The 18844-nt window shown below is 39.2% G+C and overlaps 1 long non-coding RNA gene across 1 annotated transcript in view, besides 1 other annotated feature; it reads right to left on the bottom strand.

Moving 5' to 3' along the window:
• The window catches only part of LOC101929532 (uncharacterized), a 58299-nt gene extending 58007 nt beyond the window's left edge, over positions 1-292 (bottom strand). The window contains exon 1 of the long non-coding RNA NR_110255.1: positions 201-292. This is a non-coding gene — a long non-coding RNA (uncharacterized LOC101929532). The remainder of the gene's footprint in view (positions 1-200) is intronic.
• Positions 1960-2254: a silencer, noted in NCBI's record as "tiled region #10348; K562 Repressive non-DNase unmatched - State 24:Quies". NCBI's record gives its function as "represses a minimal TATA promoter and a strong SV40 promoter by Sharpr-MPRA in K562 cells {active_cell/tissue: K562}" and the evidence as "EXISTENCE:reporter gene assay evidence [ECO:0000049][PMID:27701403]".

Raw genomic sequence — 18844 nt, 5'->3', positions numbered from 1 at the left:
ACCAAGCATAATAAAAAATAAAATAAAAAATTAAAATAAAATAGCATTGCATCCTTAAAGGATTATGTTGAATTATTAAAAAAAAAAAAAACAAATCTGCAGTGTTGTTTTTTCTGTTTTTTTTTTCTCTTTTCTTTTTCCTGAATCATGTCCAAATTAAACCAAGCATGACCATAAAGAAAGGTTATCAAAATACTCACAGTTCAGGCTCCCTACAGGACCGTTCATACTGCTATAGTATTACAAAGTAGTAATAAAAGTGAGTTATGAGGAAATGTGAATTCCTAGCAAGAAAATCTAAAAACAGGATGTTAGAGAACAATGGAAAGCCACCCTGCCTAGTAGTGTATGTACAGTTAGAGAAATTGGCCAACCAAATTCTATTATAAAATAAAGAGAAACAGTATCATTTTTAAAGCACTTTGGAATATTTTTACAGTATTTTGCTCCAAGTAGACACTCAATTATACATTTGCTAAATAAAATAATACAGATTATCTCATTGTTTTACTCCTCAACAACCTTGCAAAAGGGATAATACTATAACTATTACTCAGGAGAAGTTCTGGAGTTCTACAGCTACCATTGTGGCCAGTGCTTTTCCAATATTACACATCTGACACTGCATTCACTCTTTCTTTCATTCATTCATTCATTCATTCATTCATTCATTCATTCATGCATCCATTCATGAACTCTTCAAAGCCAAACTTGTGATTAGTGTATTCAAGGAGAACAGGAGAAAGCAATGCAGTGGGGGAACAGAGACATGTAACCACAGCACTGCATTGCACAATAGTGGTGTCATAGAGATAAACTGCTCTAGGGTCAGACAAGGCTCCCTGGAGCAGCTGACACTCAGCTGAATCTTTAAAGTGGAGACTAACAATGTTGTTTCAATCCATTTTGTCTAAATCAGCACTTCTCAAACTACACATGAAGGAACGCTAATATGAGGCTTAATAACAATAAATATTCTGTGGATGACAGAGTATCCCTATTAGCAGCAGTTGCTCTGGAGTTTGATCTAGTTCTTCATTCATTGCAAATGATTCAGGTTGGCCCATTGTTTCACCGAGGAGCCTGCTGGGTTTGACCATTCAGAATTAGCCTGTCATGATCTGGCTCATGCATGCAGTAAGACCCCATAGGTGGCCAGATAACTGAATATTCTGAATTTTAAGACTAAGGGACAAGACTCTGGAGCAGAGGGGACACTGTAAGACATTGCATCACACCACAAGTCTCACCCTTGTTGCAGCTAATACCTTGGGTGGCTTTTCTTAATTGTTTAAACAGAACTTAAACATTCTTTAGATGGATTTGAGGGTGTGATAAAGAAAGAATTTATTTTAAAAACAAACTGGAAGTGATAATAAGCTGGATTGCTCTATATTTAAGTAAGAAGCCAAACATAACTTATCAAAGGGCCTTTTGAAGTTGTACAAGGCAAAGTCTTCTCTGCTTCAGGGTGAGACCAAGTAGCGCATATTATGGAAAGCCACTCAGCTCCCACAGTTTCTGGGAGAACAGAGAAAAGAGCCCATGGGTTGCCCGTTTAAAGTGAATAATCTAAGTACTGAAATGTTGAAAGCTGAAATCAGAATTAGATTAGTTAGAAAAAAAGTTAAAGTGAGAAAGAGCCTCTCCAGGAATCTCCCATTGTACACAGCAAGTGGCCAGGCCTCCGTAACAACCCTGAGAAGAGCACACCACTTTGTGAATTAGAAATTTGGCAGTAACCTACGTAGGCCTACCATTTCCAATGTGTTTCATGTCGTTTTTATAGAAGTCTCAAGTTGGTGTTTGTAATTTCTACAAAAATTTTCCCTCGGAATGAGATTTGTGTTGATGGGAATTGTTTGTGGGAGTTCTAAGGTTTGCTTATGGTTGCCACATTTCTCAATGGTTGGGGCAAGATGGTACAAGTTCAGAGTGGAAGGGGTGCCCTCTCCAACATGACAGAGCGCATCTCAGGGCCTGAGCTAACATCTAAAGAGACTTTGATATTGAGTGGCATAGAATGTTCTTTATTTTAGGTGATGCGTCAGATGTGCAGAAATCTCCCTGGAAGTTGTGCAGTGTGATTGTGCAAACACTGAGGCTCCTGCAGCAAGAAGTCTGAACAACAAGAAATGGTAATAATTGCTGAGACTTCGCTCTGCACTGGACCTTCCTGTAACACATTGCCTAGATCATCAAAGAAGTGGGACTCTCTGAAGAAAGGAAAAATTTCAGCCAGTTATGACATTTGGCTCTACTGTGTTTGTACAAATACCAACTCAATGTTTATTGACCCAGTCAGTCCAGTGGAAAATGAAACTGAGAAAAACAAGAAATAACAAACTAGAAAGTGAGTTATTTTCTTAGCATTTTAATTATAAGGAAATTTCACAATTATACACATATTATTTGTGTGTGCAAGTAATCTTGTAAGTTTATTTACTTATGTAACAAATGTTTTTCAAGTGTTTACAATATACCAAGTACACCAGCCTCATGCCAGGTGCTGAAGACATAGAAGTGAAGCAGTGTTTTGATTTTCTGTTTCTGTGTAACAAACCGCCTCAGAACTCAATGCCTTAAAACTACAATTCATTATGCTCTTTCAGTGAGTTGACTGGACTCAGCTGGACAGTTCCAACTTGGCATTGCTCATGTAGTGACAAAGATATAGTGGTTGGGGCTAGAGGCATATGAAGGCTTGACTGGTCTGGACATCCAAGTTGTTTTGTGTGCCCGCAGCTGGGATGGCTAGGAACATCTGGAGCTGTCTAGACCATTTCTTTCTCTCTCTCTCTCTCTGTGCATATGGCCTATGCACCTGGCCAACTTCGGCTTCCCTAAGCAAGGCAATCTCAGGTAGTCAGATGTCTTCCAAGTTTTTCTGGAGCACAGAGACCAAGCCAGAAGCTGCAAGGCTTCTTACAACCTAGCCCAAAGTCATGCAGCCTCCGTTCCACTGAATTATATTGACTACACAGGACAAGCCCAGATTCACTGTGGGAGAAGATGACCCAAGGCTATGAATGTAAGTGTGGTTTGTTAAGGGACCATCTTTAGTGACTAAACAGGACAAACAAGCATCATACCTAGCGTCAAGTATTTATAATAGTTAAATAAACATTGGATTCAGAGTTGTAGTCCTGACTACTACCTTAGTCTTCGCCATGTGATTGTCAAAGTGATTACGCATTTAAAAACAAAATAACAAAAACGTAACTAAAATCACTATTGAAGAGGATTTATAAATGTTATATACAATTAAGTACTTGGCAGCAATTAAAAACTATGCTTTCAGCCAGTCATGGTGGCTCACACCTGTAAGCCTAGCACTTTGGGAGGCCAAGGAAAGAGGATCACTTGAACTCAATCAAGACCAGCCTGAGCAAAATAGTGAGATCATGTATCTAAAAAACAATCAACAACAAAAACGAAACAAAAAAGAAAACTATGCTTTCAAAGAATCTTTGTAAATGGAAAGTATTCAAGTTAAGTAAACAGCAGACCATGTAACCAGTGTATGTAGAGCATCCCCAATCTTCGTTAAAATACACATGTATATACACACACAGGTACGTGTATAAATACACTCATAGAAACAAGACTAGAAAGAATCCCATGAACACGGGTTAAGATGGTTGGGATGTGGGTGATTTTTCCTTCCTTATACTTTTCCAAATTTACTGTAATGAAAATGTATTTCTTTTATAACAAAAATTATGATATGTCATATAACTAACATGTATAACTAACATCCTGAGAAAAAAGGAAAGGGAAGAGTTAATCTTTATACTTATTTCTGGAACTTAAGCTTTCCAAAACTCTACCATAGGAAGATGGCAAATAAGCATGGAATCCTTGTATGATACTTCGTAAAAATGTAGACTTTAAGGTAGACCGTAGATTCTAGCTGTTTGTCCTCAATTTAGAAGACATAATTTACATTGAGGCTGAAGTTGGAAGAGTCCTGTCTGGACAATAAACTAAGTTAAAGCTGATGAATATGTTTTATCATGTGAAATGTACTAAGCTAGTGATAATAACATTGTTTTGCTTGTTTTAGAGCTTTATATAAATAATATCATATTTTGTTTTCTGCCTTTCTACTTATTTTCTCCATAGCACTATTTTATTATCTTTTAAAATGTAGTATTGGATACATACAAAATAACATACTTTTTTTTTTTTTGAAGTGGAGTCTCGCCCTGTCACCAGGCTGGGGGGCAGTGGTATGATCTCGGCTCACTGCAACCTCCACCTCCCAGGTTCAAGCAATTCTCCTGCCTCAGCCTCCCTAGTACCTAGGACTACAGGCACCCACCACCAAGCCCGGCTAATTTTTGTATTATTAGTAGAGATGTGGTTTCACCATATTTGTCAGGCTGGTCTCAAACTCCTGACCACGGGTGTTTATATATAAAAACTACAAAGCATACCAATAAAATAAACCCTTACGAAGTCCACCACCAACTTCAGAATTAAAACATTTTAAATACCTATCTTCTTCTTCATAGTTTCCCTGACATATATACCACAACAATATTCACAGTAGTATGCACAATTATAACACAAAACTGAAACCAATACAAATATCCATCAACTAAAGAATAGACAGGGCTGGGGCGGTGGTCATGCCTGTAATCCCAGCACTTTAGGAGGCTGAGGTGGGCGGATCACCTGAGGTTTGAGACCAGCCTGACCAACATGGAGAAACCCTGTCTCTACTAAAAATACAAAATTAGCCGGGTGTGGTGGTGCATGCCTGTAATCCTAGCTGGAGGCTGAGGCAGGAGAATCACTTGAACCTGGGAGGCAGAGGTGGCGGTGAGGCGAGATCGTGCCATTGCACTCCAGCCTGGTCAACAAGAGCGAAACTCTGTCTAAAAAAAAAAAGAATAGACAGATAATCGTAATATATTCACCCAATAGAGGACACATCAGGGAAATGAGTGGACTACAGCTATACACAGCTGAGTACAGGTAAATCTTAGAAACATAATAAGTGGAACAATTAAGGCCCTGAAGACCATATATTGAGCCTTTGCTCTGTGTGCTGGCCTCTTCACATTACTTATTGCCTATGTTAGAAAAGTGGGATTCCCTGATTCCAAAGTACCAAAACTTTGATGGCCATGCCTGAAAATTTGTCTCCATAGCACCTGACCCAGGACACAGTAAGAACCTGCCTCTCGTGCCTCAGCCAGTCCCACAGTTCTTTTCCACAACTTACCTCTCCATTTCAGTCTATTTAGAGTGTCTTTCTCTCTGTTATCTAGGAGATTTTTTTTTTTTTTGGTTCGTGTGTTTATTTCAATGATGAACTTAAAATCAATAAAACATGCACATAATTAGTTTATCAAACAGTTTGAACTGGGAAGAGGTTCAAACCTAAAACCGTTTTTTTTTTCTCCTCCAATTTGCTGCATTCAGTTGTGCTAGGATAAACCTTCCTTATCAGTTACTTTTAGGTTACTTCCAGCCTAATTTATTTTAATCCAGTTAAAACATCATTCTCATAGAGTTCCCTCCTCTGCCCAGAGCTCATGCTGCTTGACCCATGGCCTGAAACCTGAAGGACAGAAAAGGTGTGGTCCTCACTTTCTTTTGATGTCCCCACTGTCTAGGTGACTGGGTGGGTGGAGGAATAGGAGTTATGTAAAGGGATAATTGAGTCCTGCTTAATAAGTGCTGTCACATGGTTCTCTTTGGGCTACACTTTCTTGATGTGGTAGCAGTCCAGACACTAGCTCTTTAGGGGGACACAGTGCAAAATCACTTTGGGGCACAGTGTGTTCTTGTGGGAGAACCCACTCACCGCATTGTTTTGGGTATAGGATATCTGTCCCGGTTTCACTTATTCCAATCTCTTTATCCAGTTGTACACTAAAGCTGGCTCCTATCAGCCAATTGTTAAATTTTCAGGAATTTTGTGAGCTGGTTGTTAATCCATTGGTAGCTTGAAATCGACCACGGTGAGAAAATTTACACTACAGAAATTAGCAAAAATTACAACTCTGGTTTACTTTCTTTTTTTCTCTTGGAAAGTCAGTTAAACATATACTAGCATTTACTAGAATGTCCATGGCTCTCATCTCCTTTCCCCAGTGACCTACCCACAGTCTCTTGCAGCTTCATCCAGAGGACAGCCCTTTGGGAAAGGGGTGCTGGCAAGAAGACTGAAGCTTGATTATTGCATAAAGCATTTGAGTGGCTCAGGAAAATCATGCAACCTTCCCACACCAATGGGCAGGAGTGCCCACAATTGCATTGTTGGCTCTTCACACCACCCTGTCATTTCTCTTCGAATTTCTGCTCTTTCTGCTCAGATTAGCATAGTAGCAGTTCAGCAATCAACTACATAAGCAGGCGTGTGCTCAGGAAAGAAATATTGACCTCCCCTTCTTCTTCCCTTTGGAGTACCCTCAATCTCTGGAAACAATTGTCTCAGGGGCCCCTTCCTACTCAGAGAGTCTCATACAAACAGCACTCCAAGGTCTTCTCTCTTTGTTGATTGTCTTGAGGCAGCAGTTCTCAAACTTTTTGGTCTCAGGACTCCTTTGCCATCCTAAGAAATACTGAAGATCTCAAAGAGCTTTTGTTTATGTGTGCCATGTCTATTGAGATCTACTGTGTTAGCAATTAGAACAGAAATTTTAAAAACGTAGCCATCATCTCATTTCATGTAAGCCTCTAAAAATCTCCACTGTAAATTCATGAGAGAATGAAAGTGAAAACTGAAAATAATATTTTAGCATAATCATAAAAGTTTTGGCCTAATAGGTTCCCCTTGTAAAGGTCTCAGGGACCTTTGGAACTCCCCAGCAACTGTTGGGAGACAATTCTCCATTAATCTCTCATGTTTCTGTACTCCTTTCAGCATAGGCGCTCACTGTTTTTGATGGAGACTATCTTTTCAAGGATGTTTATACAGTGAACAACCTTGGGAATGTAGACAATGCTTACCTCCAGAGCAAAGGGCGGGTTTGTTTACTGTCAAATAAAAATAAAGATAATGTCTCCCTGCGTGACAAAGTTTATTAAAAAAAAGACTATAATACCCGTTATAAAAGATTCTGTTTCCCAAAGCTTGGGGTTCCTCTCCTATAACACAGTCCATTGCATGTGGAGATATCACCTGATACTTTTCATGTTGCTATGTGGGAAATGTACTTTCATGAACTTAGTGCAAAATTGATGGTACTCTGGCTACTGCTATGGTTGTGAATAATAGACTGTTGTCCCTGTACAGGAATCTCATGGCTTCTGCCAGCATCTGTGACTGTGCCAGGCTGACCTACTAGTTTGCAGTAAGATTAAATCTCAGATACTTCATAGTTCTTGACATCTACATTTTGAAAACTGTGTCCTAGAGATTTCTCAATATATCATAAACATATAAAATGATATTAGTCATGGGCACATCATGAATGAACCTAAAGGTTTTCTGGGGACTGGTACAAAATTTATTACATTATTTTTATATTATGCCATTATATTATGATAAAACATAATACAATGCATGAGAAAGGATACTAAATATTGAATTTTTGTAAAACTTCCAAATGAAATTTTTTCAAAATATTCAGTAAGAAATGAAGGGAGCTTGCTTCTTTGAACAGAATCTTTGTATCAGATTTTTGAAATGAAGTGCCTCCATGTACTTTCTAAACATGGCTTTTCTAATAATAACTATTAGAATGATAAGTTTCTATAAATACTACATTAATATACTCATGTTTTAAAAATAAATTATTTTGTAAGGAAAGAATAATGTGCATACAGGAATGGTGAGTAAACCTACTCTGAAGGTCATCGTTCTTGTCACAATTTTCATTTCTATGCATGTCCTTCATTGTTTGATAGAACAATGATTATTATGTACTCCTATACACATCACTGAGAACTAGGATTTGCATAATGCCATTTCAGCTTTTTTGTGTATTTTTTAAAGGTAAAACTTATTGAAGTATAATAATCATACAGAAGAGGAGGCAAAGTATAAGTACCTAATAATTTTCACAGAATGAATACATCCATGTTGCCAGAAGCCAGATATTTTATAAAACTCTCTAGCTGGGCATGGAGGCATGTGCCTGTAATCCCAGCTACTTGGGAAGCTGAGGCATGAAAATCGCTTGAACCTGGGAGGCGGAGGTTCCAGGGAGCTGAGATCATGCCACTGCACTCCAGCCTCCAGCCTGTGTGACAGAGCGAGACTGTGTCTCAAAAATAAAATAAATAAAATAAAATAAAACTCTCATCAGAGCCCACGTGGTGCCTCCTTAGTCACTTCTCCCCTCCACAGGGAAACCATTATCCTGACTTCTAACTTCAGATTAGTTATGCCTGAATAAGATTTTTTAACAGCTTTGTTGAGATATAATTCATATGTCATATAATTTGTCCATTGTGCAATTTAGTGGTTTTTAATATGAGTTTGATAACACAGAGTTATGTAGCCCTAACCACAATCTAATTTTAGGACATTTTCACCATTCCCAAAAGAAAACCCATAGTCATTAGCAGTCACTCCCTGTTCTCGCTCACTGCCCTCCATCAGCCCAGAATAAGATTTTTATTTTTTTTTTCTAAGACAGTCTCACTCAGTTGCCCAGGCTAGGGAGCAAAGGTGCACTCATAGCTCATTGCAGCCTTGAACTCCCCAGCTCAAGTAATCCTCCCACCTCAGCCTTGTGAATACCTGGGACTACAGGTATGTACCACCATGCCTAGCTAACTTTAAACAAAAAATTTTTTGGGGGGATGGGGTCTCACTATGTTTCCTAGAATGGTCTTGAACTCCTGGCCTTAAGGGATTCTCCCTCTTTGGTGTCCCAAAGCACTGGGATTGCAGGTGTAAACCACTATGCCAGGCCCAGAATAAGATTTTTAAATCTCTTTTTATATTTTTCGGAATTTGGCATCAATAAAAACTTTATTCTTTTAAGTAGGTAAAAATGTAAATTCATTTATTTACAACTAATCAAATATTTCCAACAGCTAAAATTATAATATAGAATCTGAGAATCTAAAGAATCTAAAAGTCATTTCCTCCTTAATAAATCTAGTATTAAAATTTCCTATGAAAATGTAAATAGACTTTTAAATATTAATAAACTTTTCCATTTTGTATTATCTATTGCTGGGTAACAAGTCATCCCACAATTTAACGGCTTATGACAATCATAAAAAACAAAATAATTAAACAAACTATTATAACAAACAACAAAATAATACAAACTTTGTATCATCTCACAAAGTTTCTGTGGATCAGGACTTTAGGAATGGCTTAGCTGGGCATTTTTGCAGTTCAGTTGTCAGCAGAGGTTGCAGATCATCTGATGGCTTGGGTGGTGATGGTAGGTCTGCCTCCAAGGTAGCTCACTCTCACAGTTGGTGTGGTAGACTGAATAACGGCCACACTAAAGACGTCCCTGTCCTAATCCCCAAAATTTGTTAATATGTTAAAAGGGTTTTTGCAGGTGTGATTACATTAAGATCTTGAGGTGTGATTATATTAAGATATTGAGGTGGAAGATTATCCTGGACTATCCATGTGGGCCCAATGTAATCATGGGGATCCTTTTAAGAGGGAAGCAAGAGGAGTAGGGTGAGTAGTAGAAGATGTGAAGGCAGAAGCAAAAGGTTGGAGTGATACAAGGGAAGAAATGAAGGTGGCCTCAAACAGCTGAAAAAGGCAAGAAAACACATTCTCCCTTCAGAGTCTCCAGAAGCCCTGCCAACCCCTTGACTAGCCTGGTGAGACTGATTTTAGACTTCTGATCCCCAAAACTGTAAGATAATAAATTTGTGCTGTTTTAAGCCACTGAGTTTGTGGTAATTCATTATAGTAGCAATAGGAAACTAACACAGCTGGTGGGTTGTTGCTGGCTGTGGGCAGGAGGCCTTGGTTTTTTGCCACATGGACATCTCCACAGGGTTTCTTGAATGTTCTTGTGATTTAGCAGCTGGTTTTTCCAGAGCAAGGGATTCGAGAGAGCAAGGTGGAGGCTACAGTATCCTTCATGACCTAGTCTTGAATAGACCACTCAATATTGTTTCTGCAATATCCTACTGATTACCCAGTGAGCCTTGTCCACTGTGGAAGGGGACTGTAGGGCATGACTTTGAGAAGACAAGAACCATTAGAGTCCACCTTGGAAGGGAATTACCACACACATTAAGTATTTTAAATCATATTGAAGTTCTAGTTTACAGAACACATTTATGCCTTACAGAGTAGCCGCCTTGTCTAGTTTCCATGCCACTAATGAGCACATCAGCCAGAAACAGACAGATATGCAATACAGGTGAACACAGAGACTGGGGCCTTAAGGTCACAGGAGCCCCAGCCTAGCTTTCCTGGTGCCCTCTCTTTCCCCTGACTGCTGGCCTTGAGTTGGAGCACTGTTCCTTGGGCACCTATAATATGAATTCCCACCAGCAGCTCCATGGACTTTAGCGTACTCTGGATCTCAGAAAGAAGACCCTGAAATAAAGGCTTGCATGTGGGTAGTTTATCTGGGAAATGAGTCCAGAGTGCAGGGGTTAGGACCTGGGAGAGTGAAACAAGAAAAAGGGAGAATCAATCAAAGGATGTGTTTACAAACTGGCTGCCATTATGGGTGACTGATGTTCAATCCACAGGACCTTTTCCGGATTCTTCTGAAATATATCTTAGAATGCTGCCACGTAATGAAAAGGGGAAGCATTGATTCATCAGTTTCCACCTCCTGCATCATAGATGGCTTTGTAGGCATCCATTTCCCCACACCTCCAGGCTGTGCATGCATGAGTGCCAAGCTGGTCCTCACTGGAACCCAAAGCCATGGCACCTGAGAAGTGTGGGACAGGAAGAAAGAGGCACATGGGAGGAAAGCTGTCTCAAGGAAAGCTGCTGTCCAGTGGTACCTGAGGGAAGCTGCTAAGTCTGTGTGGAACTGTTCACCACGACAGTGGCTGAAGAGGTAGACTGAGGGGATTTGAAGTGATTTGCAAGTGCTGTTCAATATTGGCCCTTGGCCAGAATGAGTGGTTTGCAACTGGCTGGTGAAGGAGATAGATGTCCAGATGGCAGAGTGCCACCTTGGTCATGTGACCATGCAGTGAGGTTTGCAGAGTAACAAGCACGGTATGTTTCTCCATGCAGACCTCATTGTTCTCTCTCTTCCATGAGAAAGGAGAAAGCTGTCATTTTGTTCCTCTTATGTCGTAAATGGTGTACTTAATGCCTAATGATGAGCCCTTTTAACTGGGAAATACTTACCACCACATTTGTCCTCAGCTTTCGGTCTTAATTACCATTTTTAAAGTTTAAGGAAAAAATCAACTATGATACTGTTAATAAGTATAAGCATCTGGGTCATTCACATGGTCACCACATTACAAAAAAGAAGATGCTTTTTAGTGTCCTAAATCTGTATTTGTGTCTAACAAGATAAATTATCACAGACTATGATAGCTTTAAAAAGTAGCAAAAAAGCGTTTGACCATTTTCTCATCAAGAAACTGAGAGGTGGAGTCCATGCCCCCTCACTCTAAATCTGGGTTGAGTTGTGGCTCACTGTAACCAGTAGAATACAGCAGAAGTGACATCCCGTGACTTCTGAAGCAAGGATGGAAGACATGAGGCGAGTTCTACTTTGTGAGCTGGGACATTTGGGAGCCAAGTCTGGCTACCCTGAGGGTACGATGCTGAGGAAGCTGATGCTGCATGGAAAGGCAAGTGTAGAGGCTTCTGCAACAGTGGCAGCTGAGGTCCCCAGTGACAGTCAGGATCAAAGCACCTGTCTTCCCAGCTGAGCCCCAGATATCATGGAGCAAAGACAAGCCATTCCCACTACACTCAGTCTGAATTCCTGACTCACAGAATCCATAAGCATAATATAGTCGTTGTTTAAGCAGCTAACTTTTGAGGGAGACAATAAATTAAATGAAGGTCAAATGACATCACAGCACATTGTACAGATGGAAGACACACAAAAGTTACAGCCGTGAAAAGACGTGGAAGAAGTGAATCACCCTAAAACACAAGGTATTACAGGCATGTTAAACTCCTTTATGAATAATGAACTCAATCATTTTTTCACACATTTATTTCAGCAAAACATCATCCTTTGCATTAAGTTAACATTAATTTGGATTTTAGAGTTTATGTGGTTTTGTTTTTATCTTTTATGTAAGTTAATTTTGGTTCTTCAGTTGTGTAAAAATTATAAGGAAAATGAATTTATATATAACTAGTTAAAACTGACACATACAGGATACACATTACAATAAAAACAATTTAAGTCAATCCTGAAAATGTCTGCAAAAAATATTTTCATTGAAAGGGTTAACATAATAATTATATTTGAGAAACACCACTTTTTACTATTGTCAGTAACCTTCTGCTTAAAAATTCACCAAAATACCCTATTGCATATATTCTTTATAGTAAGTCCAAACAGCTCTTCCAATCCACACCCAAAATCATCTTAGTTTTTTCCTTCCTTTCATCTACTTGCCCTCTGCTCAAGCCCCGGGAGCTTCTCCCCTGTGCCCTCAGGAACTCCTACTCCTCCAAAAGGACCCAGCTCGAGTGCTACTTCCTCTGTGAAGTCTTTCTGGAATCCCTGCAGGATTTAATGCTCCCACAATGTATCACTCAGAGCCTTGCAGGAAACACACTGCACGTTCCAATGGGTAGTTGAAGGACATTACTAGAAAGGCATTGTGACTTCTGAGGAACAGATATAGGTTGTGGAAGAAGCTGAGGACACACTCAGTATCCCACCTCACACTTTTCCTTTCCTTTTATCTGCTACCAGGGTCCCCATTGGCTGAACCCAACTAGAAGCCAAAGGGCAAAGAAATCGTGATGTTTAATTTTATGTGTCAACTTGACCGGGCTAAAGGAGGCCCACATAGCTGGTAAAACATTATTTCTCACTGTTTTACCAGAAACAGAATAAGAATGTTTCTGGAGGCGATGAGTCTTTGAATCAGCAAACCGAATAGAAAAGGTCACCTTCACCAACGCAGCTGGGCATCATCCAGTCTGTTGATGGCCACATTAGAACAAAAAGGCAGAGGAAGGAAGAATCTGCTTTCTGCTTGAGCTGGGACTTGCATCTTCTCTTGCCCTTGGCCATTGCACTCCTGGTTCTTAGGTCTTCAGAACTTGGACTAGGACTTACTCTCAGAGTTCTCAGGCCTTTGTGTATGTGTGTGCATATATATATGTACACACACACACACACACACACATATATATATACACACACACACATATATTTATATATGAGAGAGAGAGAGATTATACATTGGTTTTTTCCGTAAAAGTTACTCTGAGTTTGTCTGCCTTCCTGCCTTTTCTTCTACCTCCTCCACCTCTTCTTCTGCCTCTGTCACCTCTGAGACAGCAAGACCAGCTCTTCTTCTTCCTTTTCCTCTTCAGCCTACTCAACATGAAGGCAACAAGGATGAAGACCTTTATGATGATCCACTTCCACTTAATGAATAGTAAGTCCGTTTTCTCTTCCTTACGATTTTCTTAATAACATTTCCATTTCTCTGGCTTACTTTATCATAAGAATACAGTATATAATACATATAATACACAACATGTGTTAATTGACTGTTTATGTTAAGTCTTCCAGTCAACAGTAGGCTATTAGTTAAGGTTTTGGGGAGTCAAAAGTTATACATGGATTTTTGACGGTACAGAGAGTCAGTGCCCCTAATCCCCGCATTCAGGGGTCAACTGCATATCCTATTGGTTCTATTTCTCTAGAGAACTCTGACTAATACAAGAACCCACTGATACAGTCATATAAATCAGCCTCCCCGAGGAAAAGCACAAAGGTGAGAAGGATGGAGACTGGATACAGGGATGTGAGAGAAAAAAAGTATCCAGACTTTTAACTCATACTTCAATGACATTCTATTGCTATGACCTGTTTTCATGAGTATTTTTCCACTGGACTATGACCCTGACATTGTTATCTCCCTATTCTCTGCACTTGGCAATGGCTTGGACTCTTACTTTAGGTCTCCTAAATTAAGGTCTCTTAATTAGTGTCTGTTGAGTTAACAAATTAAGTTAATGAATTAGCAAAAGAATGACATGGATATGCAAGGATGTGTCCTTGAATGTTGCTCAATTTTATTATAATGACTTTTCCTTGTAGTTGGTTTATTTCTATCTGTTGAAATCAAAGTCTTTTTTTCTTTATTAAGTTCTTGTGATTTTTTTTTCTAAGCAAAGCAGCTGTTTATATTGTAATTTTATTTGTTTAAGTCTTATTAATGAGATTTTAGTTATTAGGCCAGCTAGAATTACATCTTAAAACAAAGTATGTTTTAATCTGTTTTATTTTTGCATACATGATTGTGGAGCAATTTAATTTATAAAATAGGACACGTTTATGGCACATAGTTTTAAATTTTCCCTTCAGTTTTGTACTGATTTTCTAAATTCCTTTACACTATTTGTATGGATCTTGTCAATCAAATCTACTCTGTATAAGAGATTAATAGAGGAATGCTACGCTATAAGCTTTCCAGTTTCCTTGAATGATTTTTAGTATTCTGTAACACTTTTTTGTAATTAAGATTTAAATACCCAATCCCTCAAGACTTGCCATACAGAGAGCTGTCAATCAAGAAATTGGCAGGCTCTATGAACTGCATGATGAAGTCTTTATCCCTACTCTCTGTTGCCTTCAAGACCAGCTTTTGCGAGCTGATCCTTCATTTCACATGTCTTAGAACTCACTCACACTTCTTATGCTTGGAAATGTAACACACAAAGTGACAACGTAATCCACAGCTAATAAGTTAGCGGCTATAAAAATGAACATCCACATTAACTTGCCAAGCATGGAGAATAGAGGTGTTACACTGCACTCGTGTATATATGTCTGCCAGGGCAATAGTACATATGCCTTTGGAGATGCTTCTAAGTTATGCAGAGAAGCCGACAATAATTCTTGAACTTTGTTGTCAGGATCCAGTTTCATTTAAGAGCCAAACCAACAGCATCAAAACACTTGGCCATGATTAGCCACAATCCAGCCGGTGAGAAAAGCATGCACAACTAGCCATTGGGCGGTAAATTTTGTGGAAATAAAGCTATCTCAGTACACTCTGTTGTGTCCTGGTTTAGGGTATATACTTTCACTGGAAAAATAATAGTAATGAAGAAGTTCTATCTTTTTTTCTGCACGTCTCTTAATTCATTACATAGTGAAATAAAGCAGATAGTTACTATCATTATTTAGAGAAAAAATGTAGACTAAAATTTATATCATTAGTTACCATGTATAAAAATACAACTCCAATTTATATATTTTATTTCCATTGAAAATATAAAATTGTAAGAGTATTTTTTAGTTGCAATGATATTTAAAATAATGCACTGTAAAATTAAGTAGCAGCCTAAAATTTGAACCCTACATCATAGAACCTAGCTCTGCCTATTGAAATCTTTTTTTTTGGTGAGGGGGAGGCGGGGTAGGGACCAAGTCTTACTCTGTTGCCCAGGCTGGAGTGCAATGGCATAATCTCAGCTCACTGCAACCTCCACCTCCCAGGTTCAAGCGATTCTCCTGCCTCCATTTCTCGAGTAGCTGGGATTACAGGCGCGTGCCACCACACCCGGCTAATTTTTGTAATTTCAGTAGAGATGGGGTTTCACCATGTTGGCCAAGCTGGTCTTGAACTCCTGACCTCAGGTGGTCCACACACCTTGGCCTTCCAAAATGCTGAGATTACAGGCATGAGCCACCACACCTGGACTTGAAATCTAATTTTAAGTTTACTTAACCTGTTCAGTAGGATAGGATATTTGACATACAATGCTTTAAACATTTATAAGTTATTGATATATACAAGTAATTTTAATATATTATATGCATGTACATTGTTTTTAATAAATATAAATTATCTTAATTTTTTCTTCATATGATTTTTAAAATTATGTAGGCTCATGGTCACATAAATGATGGAGGAGCATCTCAAGCTCACTGACTTGGTGAGCAAGGGTGTGAGTTAAGTGGAAGCAGAGCTGTGCGTTGGAGAGGAGAGGAGCCAGCATCTTTGAGCGCCTATTATGGCACATGTTTAACATTGCTTACCTTAGTGCTCACAAGAACCCCACCAGGAGGACATCTTTTATCCCTGTACTGATTTATATTTTGAGATTCAGGAAGATTGGATAAATTGCTCAAATTGACAGGGCTGGCAAATTGTAAAGCCAGGTCTAATTAAAAAGTTACTCTTTTTATTATTCCACATAATCATCCAATAAACAGAAAGTAAAGCAGACTGTAATCTCTTCAAAAATAGAAGCTCTGCTCAAAGCACCATTGTGTATTTTCTATGCCTGTTCTTATTCACTCATTCATTCATTTGCTCATTCAACAAGCCTACATTCAGTGACTACTCTGAGCTAGGCAGTGTGCTAGGCCCTGGGAATAAAATAGTGATATTTGCAGACTTCAGAGGATGGCAGAAAAGCAAAAAGACAATGAAATATAGTGCAGTTAGTGCTCTAGGAGGAGGGGGGTAAAGGTACCAGGGACACTCAGATTTTCCAGGTCTAGGAAGGTAACTTGGAGGAAGCAGCATCTAAGCAGAAGCTTTACAAACAGGGACTATACAGGTGCAGGCAATTGGGAGTGCTCTCAGGGACAGTGTTCGTGAAAGAGGATCCTGAATAAGCAAATGCCTAGAATGAAGGAAAGGTCAGGACCAAGAAGGTGGCAGGGAGTGGAGACGATGTTGTGGAGGAATTTACAGACATGTTTAAGGGATTGGAAACAACAGAATCCCATTTGGATTTGAGGACAGTCTCACAGAGCAGAGTACAGAGAATTGATGGAGCAGTAGGAAATGAGGTGGGCAAGAATCCTGGAAGTCAGCACGCCAGCTAAGAAAAGTGCTGGTAACCTGCAGTCCTAAGTGGCACTAGGGACTGGGATGTGGGATGGCCGAGTCTGGCGACTGGATATGATGGAGGGAGAACACACTGTAGGCTACTAGGAAGGTTTGTTACGTTCCTCAGAAATATTGCAAGGAAAACACTGAGACAACTGATACAGCTCAAATCCCATCACGCAGAACTCCAAGGGGAAACAATTCTTGTTTTGTTTTTTTCTTGAGATGGAGTCTCGCTGTGTCACCCAGGCTGGAGTGCAGTGCCATGATCTCAGCTCACTGCAACATCCATCTCCCAGGTTCAAGTGATTCTCCTGCCTCAGCCTCTCCAGTAGCTGGGATTACAGGTGTACACCACCACACCTGGCTAATTTTTGTATTTTTAGTAGAGAAGGGGTTTCACCATGTTAGCCAGGCTGGTCTTAAACTCCTGACCTTAAGTGACCTGCCCACCTCGGTCTCCCAAAGTGCTGGGACTACAGGTGTGAATCACCCCACCCGGCCACGGAAACAATTCTAAATGACCACTCTCCAGTGATTAAAATAAAGATTTCTCATAAGTGCTAAAGTATAACTCTTCCATTGAAAAAATAAAAACAAAAACTGCAGCATCCAGAGGGAAAATCTCTAATAATGAAATAATCAAGCATTTTAAGACATTTATCTTTGAAGGGGTTGGGGAGTTTCAATCTGGCACCCTGGGATTGACAGAGGGGAAATCCATTTTTTCTCTTGAGTGAAGATGCAGTCATTCTATGATTTTTGCATTTTCTTGCCTCCCACAGGATGCGATTTACCCCTAGATTAGTGAGCCTGTTAGGTGTCTCCTTATGTTTATGCTGCACCATGCCATGAGCTACTAATTAGTTCCTTTATTAATAAGACTGTCTATGAGATGCACACAGACTGAAGAAGAGCATTCACTGTTTTGGATAATTCAGAGTTGTAAATTATTACTGTACCTGGGACCAAAATATAAACAGGGGAGGGGTTACTCTTGGACATTAGCCAGAACCTTTTCAAAACAAAAATATTTCATGTATTTCTTGGAGTTCTCATTATAACAGTCAACCCAAATTATTATCAGCCATATTTCATTAATTTTACATGTTAGCACTTTTTATTCACGTGCAGGGTAGTTTTAATTTTCTTACAGTATTTCTCATTGAAATATTGCAGTGGACTAAATGTCTGTGTTCCCCAAAATTTATGTTGAGACTCTCATCTCAATGTGCTGGTATTTGGAGATGGGATATTTAGGAGGAAAATAGGTCATGAAGGGGGAGCCTCATGAATGGGATTAGTGCCCTTCTAAGAAGAAGCCGGAGAGCTAACCTGCTCCATTTCTGCCACATGATGATACAAGAAGTCCTAGTCTGCAATTTTAAAGAGGACCCTCATCAGAGCTGAAGCATGTGGGCACCCTGACTTCAGATTACCAGCTTCCAGAACTGTGAGAAATAAATTTCTGTAGTTTATAAGCCACCCGGTACATGGTACTTTGTTAGAGCAGCCTGAACTGAGTATGACAAATGTATAGTCTCCGGTGAGATAAAGGAAGCGTTCCTAAACCTCCTCTACACAGTTTGCCTCTGACTCGTAGAACACAGTTAAGAGTTGTTTCATAAAATGTTATTGACTCCAAGGCTTATGGTAAACTAATATAAATACATTCATTTATATCAGTTACCATAATTATAAGGCTTCTATTTAATTACTGGGTACAAAATAATGTAATTATGTCATCAACGACTGGTTTATTACAGCGTTTTATAGCTGTATTTAAAACAGTTTCGAGTTTATCTTCTTAAGTGTACTGTGCCACTATTCCAATGTCAATTTTATATTTGACATAATATAGACTGTATTGTTTTATGAACAAACCTTAACATATTAGGTTGTATTACATTAAATATTTATT

This window comes from Homo sapiens, chromosome 2 (assembly GCF_000001405.40).
Source record: "Homo sapiens chromosome 2, GRCh38.p14 Primary Assembly".
NCBI classification, from domain to species: Eukaryota; Metazoa; Chordata; class Mammalia; order Primates; family Hominidae; genus Homo; species Homo sapiens.
Note: the sequence above shows the minus strand (reverse complement) of the source record. Positions and strands in the feature narration are given on the sequence as shown.